The 17,074-nt window shown below is 53.8% G+C and overlaps 1 protein-coding gene, 1 long non-coding RNA gene and 1 pseudogene across 4 annotated transcripts, besides 3 other annotated features; 2 read left to right on the top strand and 1 right to left on the bottom strand.

Annotated features, from left to right (window-relative positions):
• Positions 1-628: 628 nt before the first annotated feature.
• ECEL1P2 (endothelin converting enzyme like 1 pseudogene 2) lies at positions 629-1,923 on the top strand (annotated as a pseudogene). Its single transcript, NR_028501.1, has one exon. The product of NR_028501.1 is annotated as an endothelin converting enzyme like 1 pseudogene 2 (transcript).
• Positions 4,784-8,922, bottom strand: ALPP (alkaline phosphatase, placental). Its single transcript, NM_001632.5, has 11 exons — positions 8,795-8,922; positions 8,586-8,702; positions 8,358-8,473; positions 7,986-8,160; positions 7,737-7,909; positions 7,353-7,487; positions 7,181-7,253; positions 6,916-7,050; positions 6,642-6,833; positions 6,306-6,422; positions 4,784-6,176 (listed from the first exon to the last, which is right to left on the bottom strand). The coding sequence occupies exons 1-11, from the start codon at positions 8,868-8,870 to the stop codon at positions 5,878-5,880; spliced, it is 1,608 nt and encodes a 535-aa protein (NP_001623.3). The 5' UTR covers positions 8,871-8,922; the 3' UTR covers positions 4,784-5,877.
• Positions 6,346-6,896: an enhancer, noted in NCBI's record as "H3K4me1 hESC enhancer chr2:233245487-233246037 (GRCh37/hg19 assembly coordinates)". NCBI's record gives its function as "activates a minimal SCP1, AML or CMV promoter by ChIP-STARR-seq in naive H9 embryonic stem cells {active_cell/tissue: H9 hESC(naive)}" and the evidence as "EXISTENCE:reporter gene assay evidence [ECO:0000049][PMID:30033119]".
• Positions 8,156-9,123: an enhancer, noted in NCBI's record as "H3K27ac-H3K4me1 hESC enhancer chr2:233243260-233244227 (GRCh37/hg19 assembly coordinates)". NCBI's record gives its function as "activates a minimal SCP1, AML or CMV promoter by ChIP-STARR-seq in naive H9 embryonic stem cells {active_cell/tissue: H9 hESC(naive)}" and the evidence as "EXISTENCE:reporter gene assay evidence [ECO:0000049][PMID:30033119]".
• LOC124906123 (uncharacterized) lies at positions 8,641-16,965 on the top strand. 2 transcript variants are annotated; one of them, XR_007088121.1, is made up of 4 exons: positions 8,641-8,728; positions 11,080-14,782; positions 14,959-15,095; positions 16,641-16,965. It is a non-coding gene; the product is annotated as an uncharacterized LOC124906123 (long non-coding RNA). The 2 variants fall into 2 exon arrangements; XR_007088122.1 differs by lacking the exon at positions 8,641-8,728 and having other exon boundaries at positions 10,572-14,782.
• Positions 12,004-12,571: an enhancer, noted in NCBI's record as "NANOG hESC enhancer chr2:233239812-233240379 (GRCh37/hg19 assembly coordinates)". NCBI's record gives its function as "activates a minimal SCP1, AML or CMV promoter by ChIP-STARR-seq in primed H9 embryonic stem cells {active_cell/tissue: H9 hESC(primed)}" and the evidence as "EXISTENCE:reporter gene assay evidence [ECO:0000049][PMID:30033119]".
• Positions 16,966-17,074: the final 109 nt, after the last annotated feature.

Below are 17,074 nucleotides of genomic sequence, written 5' to 3'. Positions count from 1 at the left end.
GAATGAGGCTCGCGGCTGGGGCCTCTGCACCCAGGCCTGTGTCTCTCCTCGCGGTGCCCCGGAACCCCGTCGGGCTGCGGCGTCTCATTAGCCTGCCTCTGTCCTTCCCGCAGCTGAGGCCCCAGGGGCCACGCGGAGGCTCACGAGGAGGCCGGCGGCCACGCGCATCCCGTAGCCCAGGTGGCCCAGGGCTGCACCCCGGCGGCCTCGGCGCCATGGAGTCCTGGTATTCGCTGATGGCGCACTACGATGAGTTCCAGGAGGTCAAGTATGTGAGTCACTGCGGCGCGGGGGGCGCTTGCGGGGACTTTCTGCCCGCAGGCCACCGGGCCCAGGCCGGGCTGCAGCTCTGGAAGCGGCGCAAGTTGAACCTGCTGTCGGGCTGGTGTTTGCAGCCGGCCTCTGCTCCATCCTGGCGGCTATGCTGGTGCTCAAGTACCTGGGCCCGGTCGCGGCCGGCGGCGGAGCCTGTCCTGAAGGCTGTCCTGAGCGCAAGACTTCGCGTGCACCGCTCGCTTCTTGGCCGCCAACCTGGACGCCAGCATCGACCCATGCCAGGACTTATACTCGTTCGCCTGCGGCGGCTGGCTGCGGCGCCATGCCATCCCCGACGACAAGCTCACCTACGGCACCATCGCGGCCATCGGCTAGCAGAACGAGGAGCGCCTGCGGCGCCTGCTGGCTCGGCCCAAGGGTGGACCCGGCGGCGCTGCCCAGCACTAGGTGCGCTCCTTCTTCCGCTTGTGCCTCGAGATGCGCGAGATCGAACGACTGAACCCGCTGCTCATGCTGGAGGTCATCGAGGACTGCGGGGGCTGGGACCTGCGCGGCGCGGCGGAGCGCCGGGGGGTTGCTGCGCGATGGGACCTCAACTGGCTGCTGTAAAAAAGTGCAGGGCGTGTACAGCGCCGCCGCGCTCTTCTCGCTTATGGTCAGCCTGGACGACAGGAACTCTTTGCGCTACGTCGTCCGTGTGAGTGCGCGCGTTGAGCGCCCCGCCAGCTGCCGTAGACCCGGGGCGCAGTGGCCTTGCCCAGGGGTCCCTGAGGGCGGGAGGAGGGTGCGCGAGAGGAGAGGAAGGGAAAGCAGGGGAGGGGAGGGAGCGCACAGTGGCAGCGCGCGGGAGGAGGTCATAAGTAATTTCCCCGGGGTAACTGCGGTGTTCAGCGGTGCAGCCATTTCCCAGCCCTCTGGCAGGCAGTGGGGAGCGGGTGGGGTGCGCGGCAATATATTCAAGCTTATGTACAAAGCATTTGAGGTCTAGTTGAAGAAACAACTTGAAGAATGGTCTCGCAGCAATTACAAACAAATACCCTTCAGCAATTACAAGAAGGCTTTCAATGACTGAACCCGAATACTTGGTTGTCTGGGTTAAACATACGCATTTGGGTGATGGCCGCTATATTCTTTTTTGTATCTGATTGCTAGGGTGATGGCCGCTATATTCTTTTTTGTATCTGATTGCTAGGCTTCTGTAAATGGCTCTGTGCTGCCACCCGAAGCATCTATGACCAGGGAAGAAGGATAGAAGCTTATTTTGCGTTGGATAACCAGCAAGCTCTAAGAATTAAAGAAGGGGGAGATGTGGGGGGTGCACGACGATATATTCAAACTTATGTACAAGGCATTTGAGCTCGAGGCATGGAAAAATACTGAGGCACTGTGTGTACGTTGTTTGTGCGTGAGAATGTAACTCCTTGACACTGAAAACAGGACAAGGAGTGGAATGTGTGATAAGGAGCGCTGAAAACAGCCTCCTAGGAATGTGGTCTGAGTGCTTTTACAAGGCCGTATGTGCCTCATGACCCCACGGCAAAAACCCATCTGGTGGATGTTTGTGGTTTAACAAGCCTTCTAATAAATACTTGGCGGATGGATTTTGGGGCGGCACTCTCTCAGAGGAGTTGCCGCCTGCCCCACTCAGCTGGAATTGTCTGAGTACTTCATTCTCTGGCGTTCACAGCAGCTACAAGCTGCAAGGGGTGACCCCAACGTGACCACCTTGAAATTACGCGTGGAGCAGGTCGACTCATCAACTTTGGGTACTAAAAATACCAAAACTTAGCTGGGCGTGGTGGCGGGTGCCTGTAATCGCAGCTACTCAGGAGGCTGAGGCAGGAGAATTGCTTGAACCCGGGAGGCAGATGTTGCAGTGAGCCGAGATCGCGCCATTGCACTCCAGCCTGGGCAATAAGAGCGAAACTCTGTCTCAAACAAAACAAAACTCTTGCTAAGGAAAGAGCAAATTTTTGAGCAGAAGTTTGAAAATATTTATTTGACACTTGATTTTGGGGTAAACAATGTATTAGACTCATAAACACTCATACCTACACAGGAAAAGGAAGCTTGAGAACAGAATGACCTAATTTCAGAATAATCTTTTTCCTCTTCTTCTTCTTCTTTTTCTTCTTCTTCTTCTTCCTCTTCTTCCTCTTCCTCTTCCTCCTCTTCTTCTTCTTCCTCTTCTTCCTCCTCCTCTTCCTCTTCCTCCTCCTCTTCTTCTTTTCCTCCTCCTCCTCCTCCTCCTCCTCCTCCTCCTCCTCCTCCTCCTCCTCCTTCTTCTTCTTCTTCTTCTTCTTCTTCTTCTTCTTCTTCCTTCTTCTTCTTCCTTCTTCTTCTTCTTCTTGGGATGGAGTTTCACTCTCGTCACCCAGGCTGGAGTGCAATGGTGCGATCTCGGCTCACTGCAACCTCTGCCTCCCGGATTCAAGCGATTCTCTTGTCTCAGCCTCCTGAGTAGCTAGGATTACGAGTGCCTGCCACCACACCTGGCTAATTTTTGTATTTTTAGTAGAGACAGGATTTCACCATGATGGCCAGGCTGGTCTCAAACTTCTGACCTCAAGTGATCTGCCTGTCTCGGCCTCCCAAAAGGCTGGGATTACAAGCATGAGCCACAACTCCTGGCCAGAATAATCTGTTTTTAAAATGTCTTCACTTTTAAAATATAGAAGTCCTTGGGTGTGAGCACTCATGTAAAACCTAAACATGCAGCACCTCCACATTGGTTAGAAAGAGGAACTTTCTAACCCACTGACAACTGGGAAGATAGAAATACACTAGCTGGATTTTACCAAAACCTTTGCATATTTGGTGGATGGAATGTAACAATGAGTATGATGATTTAGTAAGGCCAGCTAATGGTGTCTACCTTCTGTTCACCTCCCATATTTTTATGACAGCCACTAAAACCTAGAATTAGAAAAGAAAAAAAACTGTCCTGAGAGAGCCAGGTCCTCAAATACATGTATATATTTTTCCAGACAGGGTCTTGCTCTGTTGCCCAGGCTAGAGTGCAGTGGAGCAATCTTCTTTCACTGCAGCCTCGACCTCCCTGGACTCAGTTGTTGTTTTTGCAGAGACGGGATCTCACTATGTTGCCCAGGCTATTCTCAAACTCCTGAACTCAAGCGATCCTACCCGCTCTTCCTGCCAAAGTGCTGTGATTGCAGGTGTTGAGCCGCCATGCCTGCCAAATAGATGTTTTACAATGTTAAAATAATTTTCATATGCAAGGAAGCATTCAATCATGCTAATATTTCTAGTGAGCACAAAATGCTTGCTTTTTTTTTTTTCTTAAGACAGAGTGGCTCTGTCGCACAGGCTGGAGTGCAGTGGTATGATCTCAATTCACTGCAACCTCCCAGGTTCAATCAATTCTCCTGCCTCAGCCTCCCAAGTAGCTGGGATTACAGGTGCCGACCACCACGCCCGGCTAATTTTTGTAGTTTTAGTAGAGACCGTGTTTTAGTTTAGACCAGTTTTAGTTTCACCATGTTGGCTGGGCTGGTCTCAAACTCCTCACTTCAGGTGATCCTCCCACCACAGCCTCCTGAGTAGCTGGGACCACAGGCATGGGCCACGAGGCTTGGCTAATTTTTGTATTTTTTGTAATAGTGTAAACTTTGCTGGAAAATGTGGCTGATTTCACCTTTAATTCTTTTCGGCCAGACACGTGGCTCACACCTGTAATCCCAAACTTTGGGAGGCCAAGGCGGGTGGATCACCTGAGGTCAGGAGTTGGAGACCTGCCTGGCCAATATGGTGAAACCCCGTCTCTACTAAAAATACAAAAACTAGCCAGGCATGGTGGTGCACACTTGTTGACCCCTGGCTACTTGGGAGGGTGAGGCAGGATAATGGCTTGAATCTGGGAGGCAGAGGTTGCAGTGAGCCGAGACAAGGTCATTGCACTCCAGCCTGGGCAACAGAGTGAGGCTCTGCCTCAAATAAAAAAAATTCTTTTCAATGTTCTTTTGGGGCAGGTGTGGTACTCACCAAGCATGGCTGTGTTGGGATGGGTGCTCCCGAATGCTTTCGGACGGAGATCAGAAACACCTGGAGTCAGTTCCTTCCCCAGTTCTCACCTCTCCCTGCTACCCTCTACCACCCCCACCATCCACCCAAAAGACAAGACCCTTCTTCTGGCAGCAGCCAGAATACTTATTTTCCACCCAGGGCGGGTCACAGCACTCCTTAAAGACCTCCAACCACATCCCTCTACTCAGACTTCACACTCCCCAACACTACCCACCCTCTTGACCCTCAGATTTACCCCTCTACCCACCCACCCTCTGATCCAGCCCTTGGCCTCCCAGAGCACCTGCTGGCGCTGCCCCAGGGCCTTGGCACTGCTGTTCTGCCTTGCTCAAGCCCCACTCTGTTTAGGTCTCCTGCTCAATCATCTGCTCCTCAGCAGCCCCTCCTGGCCTGCGTTATCCACCCCTCCAGACACTGTGCCCACAGGCACTCATGATTTTCCTCCTAGGAAGTAGTACTGGCATTACATTGTCTAACACTTCCTTTTATTATTTATTTATTTTTAAAATTTATTTGTTTATTTTTGAGGCAGAATCTCGCTCTGTCGCCCAGGCTGCAGTGCAGTGGCATGACCTCGGCTCACTGCAATCTCCGCCGCCCGGGTTCAAGCGATTATCCTGCTTCAGCCTCCTGGGTAGCTGGGACTACAGGCGCATAGATAAGGGGTTTCACCGTGTTAGCCAGGATGGTCTCCATCTCCTGACCTCGTGATCCGCCCACCTCGGCCTCCCAAAGTGCTGGGATTACAAACACTTCCTTTTATTATTGCTTTGTCTCCCAGGAGAGCAGAGGCCCTGGGGAGGCAGGGGAGTCTTCCTTCTTGAGAAATCTATGCCCAGTGTCCAGATGTCTGGGGAGGGACCTTTGGCTCTCGACCAGTGTCCTGCACCCAGGGCTTCCCAGGAGCTCCTCGGATCTCAGTTGGGTGCTGAAATTGGCATGTGGGGGTATGGAACGTCTGAGAAGTTGAGATTTGGGGCAAGCCTTTGCCATGAGGCAGAGGGCCCCCTGGGGGGGTACAGGGGTGTGGAATTAGCTTAGTGGGGGGCAGCCGAAGGCTGTGTCAAAATCCCCCTGGTGATCCCCACCCCAGGAGCCTCCTTGGCCAGCAGGGTGGCAGGAAACCACCCTTCTCCAGGCGTCCTGAAGATCCCGAGTCCTCAAGTCCCACAGGTGATTCAAGGACTGAAGCAAAGATCAGCGGGGCGCGGGGTCTGGGTGCTTCTTTTCCCCAGGAAGGGAGCCTGCCTGGTACCCACTGGGCTGTAGGTGGTGGCTGGATGGCCTGAGCCCCCTCCTTTCCTGGGGTGCAGGCAGCCACAGGGCACAACCTGCAGTCCCTGGGGTTGGGGTAGGGAGTCCGAGAGCAGCCAAGGGGCAGGTTTGGTGTCATGGGCTCAGTCCCCAGAGCGCACGGGGAGGGGAAGGTTCCATGGCAGGACCTCTGTATAGGGACTCCGGGGATGACGACTCGGGCTGGAGGCCAGGCAGGACGACAGGAGGTGGGGAGCAGGAGAACTCCGGGATGGGGAAGCAGGAGCCCCAGGGACGGGACACTCAGGGAGCAGTGGCCGTCTCCAGCAGCAGCAGGGTCCCGGCCAGCAGAGGAAGCAACGCGGGGACCACGGACCGCCCCGGGTGCGCGGCGTCGGTGGTGCCGGCGGGGGGCGCCAGGTCGCAGGCGGTGTAGGGCTCCAGGCAGGCGGCGAAGGCCATGACGTGCGCTATGAAGGTCTGCTCCTGCACGCCGTGAACCAGGTGCGCCTGCGGGCCGCGCGCGAACACCGCCACGTCCTCGCCTGCGTGGGTCTCTTCGTCCAGGGGCACTGCTGACTGCTGCCGATACTCGGGGCTCCCTGGTTGGAGGGTTCAGTTCCGGTAGGAGGGTTCATTCAGTTCCAGGCAGACAGGAGGTGACCCCTTCCCGCCAGCCCCCCATCCTTGGCACCCTGGTCCCCCTCAGGGGGCCACCCCGCGGCACTCACCGCTCTCGCTCTCGGTAACATCCGGCCGGGCGCCGTCCTTGAGCACATAGCCTGGACCGTTTCCGTATAGGAGGACCGTGTAGGCCTTCCTGTCCCGGGCCTTGCCAGGGGCCAGCCCTGCAGAGAGAGGGGTCCCTGTGGTTGAGCTGAACACAGCTGTGGAGTGTCTCCCACGTGCTAGGCACCGCCACGTTTTGCCTGGTCAGGGGCTTAGTCCTCAGGAGACCCTACAGGGCTGGTGCCAGCATTACTCCCATTTGACAGAGGAGGAGACTGAGGCTCAGATTTCACCCACTTAATTGCTGCAGCAGCACCTGCCACTCTCCCCAGGCCTACCGAAGATGGAGCTCCCTCGCAGGGGGTAGCCTCCGAAGGAGAAGACGTGGGAGTGGTCGGCAGTGACGAGGCTCAGCGTGTCCTCCTCGCTGGTGAGCTGGCCCGCCCTCTCAATGGCGTCGTCGAACATGATCGTCTCAGTCAGTGCCCGGTAAGCCCTGCTTTCATGATGACCATGGTCGATGCGACCACCTGCAGGAAGGCCAGAGGGGGGAGATGCTGAGCCTGCCCTGCTCCAACCCCCAACCCCCACTCCCCAGGGGCCACCACGCACCCTCCACGAAGAGGAAGAAGCCGCGGGGGTTCCTGCTCAGCAGGCGCAGGGCAGCCTCTGTCATCTCCATCAGGGAGGGGTCCAGTGTGGAGTCTCGGTGGATCTCGTATTTCATGTCTCCAGGCTCAAAGAGACCTGTGGGACAAGGGGTCCTGTGGTGACTGGCAGGCTGGGGGTGGGCGGGTGCTGGCGGATGTGCACACAGGCTCAGAAGGTGCCATCTGAGGCCATCTGAGGGATGCCAGGGCAGGAAGGGGGTCATTACCCATGAGATGGGTCACAGACGGGTCCAGGGAAGCCTGCATGAGCTCAGTGCGGTTCCACACATACCGGGCACCCTGTGGGGAGGGAGAGAGCCAGGCCTCAGCCCACAGCCCTGAGCCCCACACCTCTGCCCTCCCCCTGCTGTGCCCCCTGCACCCGCCAGCCCCCATCACCTGGCGCTTCGCCAGCCATTCCTGCACCAGATTCTTCCCGTCCAGCCTGGTCCCACCTTGGCTGTAGTCATCTGGGTACTCAGGGTCTGGGGTTCCCATGCGAAACATGTACTTTCGGCCTCCACCTAGGATCACCTGGGAACAGAGGATGGGGCAGGTGGATTTGGGGCCCTGGCTGGCCCCGTGCCCCCTCCTCATGCACAGCCCCTGACTCCCCTCCCCAAGGCTGTGGGAATGGCCCAGCCTGGGCTGCACCTTCTACGCCCACAACCCCACCTCCAGACCCTGCTGGCCCAGATAAGGCTTTTGGTTGCCTGGGTCTGAGCTAGTGCCCCCTCCCTGCTACTCTCTGCCCAGCCCCAGCCCTTGGCCTGGGGGTCGCACGTCAATGTCCATGTTGGAGATGAGCTGCGTAGCGATGTCCTGGCACCCCTCCTGGCGGGCGGAGGCAGGCACGTCGGCGTCCGAGTACCAGTTGCGGTTCACCGTGTGGGCGTAGGTGCCGGCTGGCGAGGCGTGCTGCACTCGTGTGGTGGTTACCACTCCCACTGACTTCCCTAAGGGTGTCAGAGGTCAGTATATGTGACCAACGTCTGTGACCTGGCCGTGACCCAGCAGCGGGCCCCAGCTCACCTGCTTTCTTGGCCCGATTCATCACGGAGATGACCTCGTTGCCGCGTGTCGTGTTGCACTGGTTAAAGCGGGCGGCTGCACTCAAGCCAATGGTCTGGAAGTTGCCCTTGACCCCGCACAGGTAGGCCGTGGCTGTGGCTCCACTGTCTGGCACATGTTTGTCTACATTGTATGTCTGGGGACAGAGACACTCTGAGCTCTTCTCTGGGGCAGACACGGAGACCCAGACCCTGATCTCTGTCCTCTGGGATTCCAACTGCCTCTAACTCCTTACTGGAGCCCCAGCTGTTTAGGGTCCCTCCCTCCTACCACACTCCATAGCCAGGATTCCCCTTCTGTGCTTGGAGGACTCTAAGGTAGCCCAGCACTTACCTTGGACAGAGCCACATATGGGAAGCGGTCCATGGCCAGGGGTATCTCAGGCCCCAGTTTGTCCTTCTTCTGCCCTTTTAGGATCCTGGCAGCTGTCACCGTAGACACCCCCATCCCTGAAGGAACAGAAATGTGTGAGGCTTGGGCCCCAGGGCTCTCCTGGAACCACTGAGGGTCCGGGCGCCGGGGCTGTGAGGGCTGCAGGGCTGGAAGGCCTGGCTCACTCACCATCGCCCAGGAAGATGATGAGGTTCTTGGCGGCTGTCTGTGCAGGCTGCAGCTTCTTGGCGGCACCCAGGGCCTCGGCTGCCTCGCGGTTCCAGAAGTCCGGGTTCTCCTCCTCAACTGGCCAGGGGGAGAGCAAAAATCAGGTCAGCCTGGGCTGGGGGGTGCCCTGTGTGTGTGTTGTGTAGGGGCAGCTCGGGGAGCCTCATTACCTGGGATGATGCCCAGGGAGAGCTGTAGCCTCAGGCCCAGCAGCAGCAGCAGCAGCAGCATGCAGGGCCCCAGCATGTCTGGAGGGCAGCAGGACAGTGGCGAGGCAGGAATTCTGGGCATGGAGTATGAGCTGCACTCCAGGCTGCCCGGGTTTAAATCAGGGAGAACTGTGTCCCGGCTTCTCCCCTCGTTGCCACCTTGACCCTGCCCAGCCTCTTGACCTGAAGCCACACTGGCTGAAGGGAGTGGCAGGGTGTGGCTGGGCTGGGCCGGGCTGGGGCTGGGGTCCTGAGAAAGGCAGCTCAGGTTGGGACCAGGTGTCCCCCAGGGAAGGGTGCGGTATTGAGTACAGATGCCATTTGGGTGAGTGTGGTGTGCCTCCCGCAGCCAGGAGCCCCTCCCCCAACCCCTGCTCACTGTGTCTTGTGTGGAACAAGACACCCTGTCACTGGATCATTCACCCATTTTTTTCTATATTTCCCAGAAGCTGGGGCCAGGCTGTGTTCTGGTGTCGAGAGGAGGGGAGGCTGGAAGCACACAGTCTGGGCCAGGGCCTGGGTTCAGCCTCCTGATGCCAGGAGCCTGGGCCCTGTGGGAAAGGGGCACGTGGGGGGCTTTGCTGCCCTGGCACCCCCTTGCTCCATCATCTTACCTTGGCCTGGACAGGTGGGGCTGGCAGGAATCTGGGCCCAGAGCTCTAGGGCTGTGGGCAGCTGTGGGGCCAATGGTGACAGCACTGAGTGGGGCCGGACCAGTCCTGCCCATTGCTCACATGTTGTGTGTGATTGTGTATGTGTTTGTGTGGGTGCACTCACACTAATGTTTGGACGACGCAGGTGGGGAGTCCACCCCAGCCCAACCACAGCAGCCCCTTCTCCACTCATGCTTGCTCGCCCCGAGCCCCAGGCTTGGCCCCCAAAACCCAGGGGACCTCACCTGCTGCTCAGCCTCTGCCTTCCCCGCACCACTCCCCACCACCCCCACGGGCCTCCCCTCAGGCCGAGCTTTCTGGAGTCCTCCTGCCTGCCCCCCGCCTGGCTTCCTGCTGGTCGTCCTGGGGCTCTCAGGGAAGATGTCACCCTCATGGGGACATTCCTTCCTCCTGCTTATTGCCCCCTTAGTTCCTTCTACCTCCTGCTTCATCTTGCTGAGTTAGGAAATTTCTGGGCTAAATTTCAGAGGAGACTCACTAACAGGCAGGCCCTTAATTAATTCATTGATTCACTCTAAAGTCAAGGCCAGTCAGGAGCTTTTGCCGCCACCCCACAATTATTTTTCGAGCTGGAATCTTTTGGTTTTGGAGACAGGGTCCCATTCTGTCAGCCAGGTTGGAGTGTGATGCCTGAGTTACGGCTCCCTGCAGCTTCGGACCTCCCAGGCTCAAGCAATCTTCCCACCTCAGCCTCTCACGTAGCTGGCACCAATGGCATGTGCCACCACACCTGACTCATTTTTTATTTTGTGTAAAGACATGGTTTTGCTATGTTGCCCAGGCTGGTCTCGAACCTCCACCTCAGCCTCCCAAAGTGTCTGGATTTACAGACATGAGCCACTGCGCTCACCTTCCTCTTTTTTTTTTTTTTTTTTTTTTGAGGCAGGGTCTCATTTGTCACCAGGCTGGACTGCGGTGGCATGATCATGGCTCACTGCCTCAGCCTTAGCCTCAGCCTCCCCAGTAGCTGGGCTTATTGGCACCAGCCACCATGCCTGGCTAATTTTTTTTGTTTTGTTTTGTAGAGTCTCACTGTGTTGCCCAGGCTGCTCTCAAACTCCTGGCTTCAAGTGATCCTCCTGCCTCAGCCTCTCAGACCACTGGGATCACAAGTGTGAGCCACTGGGCCCAGCTGGGTCTTGTCGTTTGGCAACAACATTCGTTCCCAGCCCCTGCCATGCTGTCCCCTGAGTGGCAAGGGCTGTTGCCATATTTCCCAGTGAAATGCCCTGGTAAGATCTGGAGGGCAGGAGGCAGGCAGAAGCCATTCATCCGTGGTTGGCAGTAGCTGGTGAGGGGGCGAATTCAGCCCTGCCCGGCCACTTTGGGAGGCCAAGACAGGTGGATCACCTGAGGTCGGGAGTTCAAGACCAGCCTTACCAACATGGATAATCCCCATCTCTACTAAAAAATACAAAATTAGCCAGGCATGGTGGCGCATGCCTGTAAGGTGGGCACTGAGCTGGAACATGGTCTGGACTGCACAGAGCTTGGTATCCCCAAGGGCATCAGGTGGTAGAGGGTGCTAAGGGATCTAGATGGGGCCCTACAGGACCAGCCCTTCCTTCCCAGGAAACAGAAGGACCAAGACGACCAATCCTCTGAGAATACACGCCACAGCCTGGGCCTCCCCTTGCCCCAGGTAACAGCAACCAAGAATCCCAGGAATGGAGGCTTTGGCTCTTCCTCCAGCCGGGGAAGACCTGCTGCTTCTGCTTTGAAATCCCTGGACCTCAGAGGAAGGGCTGTAACCAGACATTATGACAGGCGACTCTGGCATGAAGGTAGGAGGCAGGGTGGCCAAGCATCCCCATGTGGCCAGGGTGTCACCATAGACTTTGAATGTGGACAAATATCCTTTGTTTACTGCAAGTGACATTGGTGTGTGTCTGGTCTCCAGTCTTGCTCAGCACCTGAAAAAATTCACCACATAGTGAGCAACATAGCAAGACCCTGTTTCTATTTTATTTTATTAATTAATTAATTAATTTATTTATTTATTTTTATTTTTTTGAGATGGAGTCCCACTCTGTCCCCCAGGCTGGAGTGCAGTGGCGCAATCTCAGCTCACTGCAACCTCCACCTCCCAGGTTCAAGCGATTCTCCTGCCTCAGCCTCTTGAGTAGCTGGGATTACAGGCGCCCGCCAGCACGCCCAGCTAGTTTTTGTATTTTTATTTTTTTATTTTTGTTTATTTACTTGTTTTAGAGACGGAATCTCGCTCTGTCGCCCAGGTTGGAGTGCACTGGTGAGATCTCTGCTCACTGCTCCGCCTCCCAGGTTCAAGGGATTCTCCCACCTCAGCCTCCCGAGTAGCTGGGATTACAGGCACCTGCTACCACACCTGACTCATTTTGTATTTTTAGCGGAGATGGGGTTTCACCATGTTGGCCAAGCTGGTCTCGAACTCCTGACCTCAGGCTATCCACCTGCCTTGGCCTTCCACAGTGTTGGGATTACAGGCGTAAGCCACTGCGCCTGGCTGATTTTTGTAGTTTTAGCGGAGATGGGTTTTCACAATGTCGGCCAGGCTGGTCTCGAACTCCTGACCTCAAGTGATCTGCCCACCTCGGCCTCCCAAAGCGCTGGGATTACAGGCGTGAGTAGCTGTACATGCTGGCTCGTATGTCGCAGGTCTCATTAGCTTCTTAAATCTCCACCCGGGGTGCGCTTTTTACTATTATAATGAGCAAAGGGTCAGTTTGAGGATAGGTAAAATCAAAATGCGCATGCTCTCTAGAAAGAAAAGTCCCCACTGAAGATAGCTTTGCTTGAATGAGCTCAATTACAATTCGAATGCTGAGGCTTATTGTGTTGACTGTGCGGTCACCACGCTTGCTGCATCCCAAGAACACGGTCACTTCCTTGATTACCTATCCTGTTTCAGTACCGCCCTTTGGAAATACGTGCATGTCACATTTTGAAAAATACTGGCTGAGATGAAAATGGAAAACGCAGCTGGAACAGTTGCATCTAATCTGGATCAAATGGCAAGCTTGTTCCTTCCTTTTCTTTCTTTCCTTTTGAGATATGTCAAACATTAAAACTGCAGAAAACAGAAAGATATGGCCTAAAGAAGAGTTACAGAATTGAACGCCAAAGTAATACCACTCAGATCAAGAAATTGACTACAGCCAGGATCTCCCCATATGTACCCTGCCCCCCATTCAAACCCCACTTCTTCCTTCCCCACCAAAGGGAACCATTGACTTTGTTTTTTGAGACAGAGTCTTGCTCCGTAGCCCAGGATGGAGTGCAGTGGGGCAATCACGGCTCACTGCAGCCTTAACCTCCTGGGCCCAAGAGATTCTTCCACCTCAGCCTCCCGAGTAGTGGGGACTACAGGTGTGTGCCACCTTGCCCATTTAATTTTTGCATTTTTGGTAGAGATGGGGTTTCACCATGTTGCCCAGGCTGGTCTGGAAGTCCTGGGCTTAAGCCTCTCCTCCCAAAGTGCTGTGATTACAGGTGTGAGCCTCCACCCCCAGCACGGCCTAAATTTTTTGACACTCCTTTTCTTTTAATAGCTTTTGGCCAGAACATGCTTACTAGCAACACCTCTTCCCAACCCCTCATGAATAATCATGTAAGATTTCCATAAAGGGAGCCTCCCTAGTGCCAACTTTTGCTGTCTCATCTTTATGAGCAGCCTGCCCTGAATTCTTCTCTCTGCCTATTCTGCACTTCACTTTCAAGATGTTCTTTTTCTTTTGCAAAAATTATTGTATGCTGCATCTCCTTTGCTGTTGTGTCTCTTGTTTAAATTATTTTAAGCTAAGAAGACAAGAACCAAAGTCTCACATCAGCTGCCAACAGTACTCCAGATTATTTCAGGTGGTGTGGGTGTCAAGGCAATTCCATCTTGGGGCCTGATCTACCAGGTTGATGAATGCCAGTTCTCGGAGGGCCTCTGAGATTTCCCATTCATGTCGTGTTTCTAGTGCGGGAGCACCTACTTCCCATAAATCCTGCCCTTAGGACAAAACAACTTTGATGTTATCATATTTCAATTGTCCTACACATCCCTTTGAGGTCACCCCTCCCCTGTGGCCCTTGGTCTTGGGGGGTAAAGCTACCATCTTGTCTCACTGCCACCTGAGACCCAGACATAGCTTCTGTTTGTAAGTCTCTATTAAATGTTTTTTTCTAAGAAACTGGATATGTCAGCAATTCTCCTGCCTCAGCCTCCTGCAGTGGCTCACGTCTTTATAGGAGGCCGAGGTGGGTTGATTGCTGGAACCCAGGACTTTGAGACCAGCCTGGACAACATGGCAAGACACTGTCTCTACCAAAAAATGTAAAAATTAGCTGGGCATGGTGGCATATGCCTGTAGTCCCAGCTACTTGGGAGGCTGAGGTGGGAGGATTGCTTGAACCCAGGAGGTCGAGGCTGCAGTAAGCTGAGGTTGTGTCACTCTACTCCAGCCTGGGCAGCAGAGTGAGACCCTGCCAAAACAAAACAAAACAACAACCAAAAAACCCCACATACTCCTGAAAAGCAGTCTAGGCCACCAGGAGGCTTGCTGTCTTGTCATTTCAACATACATGTCCACTTCAGTTGATGCATTACTGTGGGAACAGCAAGACGAGCTGGCGATTCCACACACTCCCCTTGTTCAGCAAGCAAACAGTGCACAGCTATGCGGTTATCTAAAACTACTCCAGGCTGGGCATGGTGGCTCACGCCTGTAATCCCAGCACTTTGGGAGGCTGAGGTGGGCGGATCACTTGAGGCCAGGAGTCCCAGACCAGCCTCGCCAATATAGTGAAACCCCATCTCTACTAAAAATACAAAAATTAGCAGGGTATTTATGGTGGTACACGCCTGTAATCCCAGCTACATGGGAGGCTGAGGCAGCAGAATCGCTCGAACCCGGGAGGCAGAGGTGGCAGTGAGCCGAGATTGCACCACTGTACTCCAGCCTGGGTGACTAAGCGAGACTCTGTCTCGATAATAATAATAATAATAATAATAATAATAATAATAAAACTACTCCAGCTAAGGAGTCTAGGGACTTGCTGGGCAGCCATAGCAGCCGCCATTTAGCTTGCTTTGATCCATAGGGCAGCCCTCAGGAGCACAGGTCTGTGTCTTGGGTAGCAGTAGTCACTAAGGCTGTCCTTTCTAACTAGGAATCAGTTAGGTTATTACTACATCCAGGCAAAGTCACACCTGCCCGAAAGACTTCCTGACTCATTAAGGCCTGCCCATCAGATGGAGTGCTCTCTGGCTCACCATCAAGGGAAAAGAGGAGCTCGCCTTCTTTTAGCAAGGGTAAGGGAATAGCCCAACTGGGATGCCCAATAGAAACGGGGGCTTCGTGGTCCCTAAAAGGGTCCACGTAAGGAGTACTCAGTCCAGTCCACAATTCTTTTAGGGGTCTTTGGATGTTCAGATAGGGACATGCAAAAAGCTGTGAACTGTTGGGTTAACGGGTCGCTGTGATCCAGGACAGATTGGCTTCGGTGACACATCCAACAGTGGATGAGTTGGCGGATGAAGCAAGAGCTTGTGAAATACTAAGCAGTGAGCTGTCCTTCCATCCAGAGGCAAGAAGGCGCTGGAGAACAGTAACAGCCAGAAAAGCGTATGTTCCCTTTATGATTTCTTAGGGTCTTTGGCTGGGCTTTGAACTCTACCAGTTTCCCCTGGAGGAACTCCAGAAACACTGGCTTTATCTGAGTGTAGTAAATCCGCAGCACCCACAGATGAGTGGGTGCTCAGCAGCACCTCAACAGGGCCGACCACGGTGGTTGCACTGATCTTCAGCCTACTGGAATTTCCAGGTCTTCAACAGAACTTGGTCCCCTGGTTTCAAATTTTAATTTAATTTTTTTTAATTTGAGATAAGCGTCTCGATCTGTCACCCAGGCTGGAATCCAGTGGCTCAATGTTGGCTCACCGCAACCTCCACCTGAGGTTCAAGTGATTGTCCTGCCTCAGCCTCCCGAGTAGCTGGGATTACAGGTGCCCACCACCACACCTGGATACTTTCAGTATTTTTAGCAGAGACGGGATTTCACCATGTTGACCAGGCTGGTCTCGAACTCCTGATCTCAAATGATCCGCCCACATCAGCCTCCCAAAGTGCTGAGATTACAGGCATGAGCCACCAAGCTTGGCCAAGTTTTCAAAATTTTTAAAGGAAGGCCAGACACAGTGGCTCATGCCTATAATCCTATCACTTTGGAAGGACAAGGCTGAAGGATCCCTTGAGCCCATTAGCTTGAGACCAGCCTGGACAACATGGCAAAACCTTGTCTCCAAAAAATTACAATTAGCTGGGTGTGGTGGTTGTGCATGCACCTGTAGTCCCAGCTGCCAGGGAGGCTGAGGCAGGAAGTCCACTTGAGTCGGCTTGGTCGAGGCTGCAGTGAGCTATGATCACATCATTGCACTCTAGCCTGAGCAACAGAGAAAGGGTGTGTGTGTGTGTGTGTGTGTGTGTGTGTGTGTGTGTGTGTGTGTGTGTTTGAGAAGGAGTTTCGCTCTTTTGCCCAGGCTGGAGTGAAGCAGTGCCATCTAGGCTCACTCCAACCTCTGCCCCCCACTCCTCCCCCCGCCCAGGTTCAAGAGATTCTTCTGCCTCAGCCTCCCAAGTAGCTGGGATTATAGGCACCTGCCACCATGCCCAGGTAATTTTTGTATTGTTAGTAGAGACAGGGTTTCACCAGGTTGGCCAGGCTGGTCTCAAACTCCTGACCTCAGGTGATCCACCCACCTCGGCCTCCCAAAGTGCAGGGATTACAGGTGTGACCCACTGCGCCTGGCCTTTATATTTGGTAACATAAGGTATCAAAGAGTTATTAAATACACCATCACTCCCATTTGGTACAGGGCCTATATATAATTATCTATACCTACAGAAAACAACATACATACACAGTAAGGAACAGCCAAGTTATATCTTGAGACCTAAAACAGATGCCATTTCTAATTCAGAACTAAGAAAAAAAACTGTATGTTAAAGAACAAGTGACTTTTTCCCTTGTAAAAGATGTCACTTGATTTTCAATAAATGCTTTCATACAATGGAGAAAACAAAATGTATTATCCTCTCACAAAATTTTTACATGTCAATCCTAGTCTAAACTGTATTTGAACAATTACAAATTTTTTTTTTTTTTTTTAGACATAGAGTCTCACTCTGTTGCCCATGCTAGAGTGCAGTGGCCCAATCTCAATTTACTGCAAGCTCCGCTTCCCGAGTTCAAGTGATTCTCCTGCCTCAGCCTCCCGAGTAGCTGGGACCACAGGCACCCACCACCACACTCGGCTAATTTTTATTATTTTTAGTAGAGATGGAGTTTCACCATGCTGGTCAGGCTGGTCTCAAACTCCTGACCTCAAGTGATCCACCCGCCTCGGTCCCCCAAAGTGTTGGGATTACAGGTGTGACCCACTGCTCCCAGCCACAAATATTTTAATAAATTCCAAAATCTTATTTTTAACCATTACTGCTCTGTAGCAATAGTTGATGTCCCAACCTGAGCCAAAGGCAGTGTCGATCTTGAGCCAAAGACATGTGAGCATCTTTCTACTGTCAACAGATGCAGTTCATCCGAG

This window comes from Homo sapiens, chromosome 2, assembly GCF_000001405.40.
Source record: "Homo sapiens chromosome 2, GRCh38.p14 Primary Assembly".
Lineage (NCBI taxonomy): Eukaryota > Metazoa > Chordata > Mammalia > Primates > Hominidae > Homo > Homo sapiens.
This window is presented reverse-complemented; position numbering and strand designations above follow the sequence as displayed.

Coding starts and splice junctions, on each gene's coding strand:
- ALPP (NM_001632.5), bottom strand. CDS start 8,870: ATGCTGGGGCCCTGCATGCTGCTGCTGCTGCTGCTGCTGGGCCTGAGG. Junction 8,474..8,585: donor CATCATCTTCCTGGGCGATG/GTGAGTGAGCCA, acceptor CTGTTCCTTCAG/GGATGGGGGTGTCTACGGTG. Junction 6,834..6,915: donor CTTCTTCCTCTTCGTGGAGG/GTGCGTGGTGGC, acceptor GCCTTCCTGCAG/GTGGTCGCATCGACCATGGT.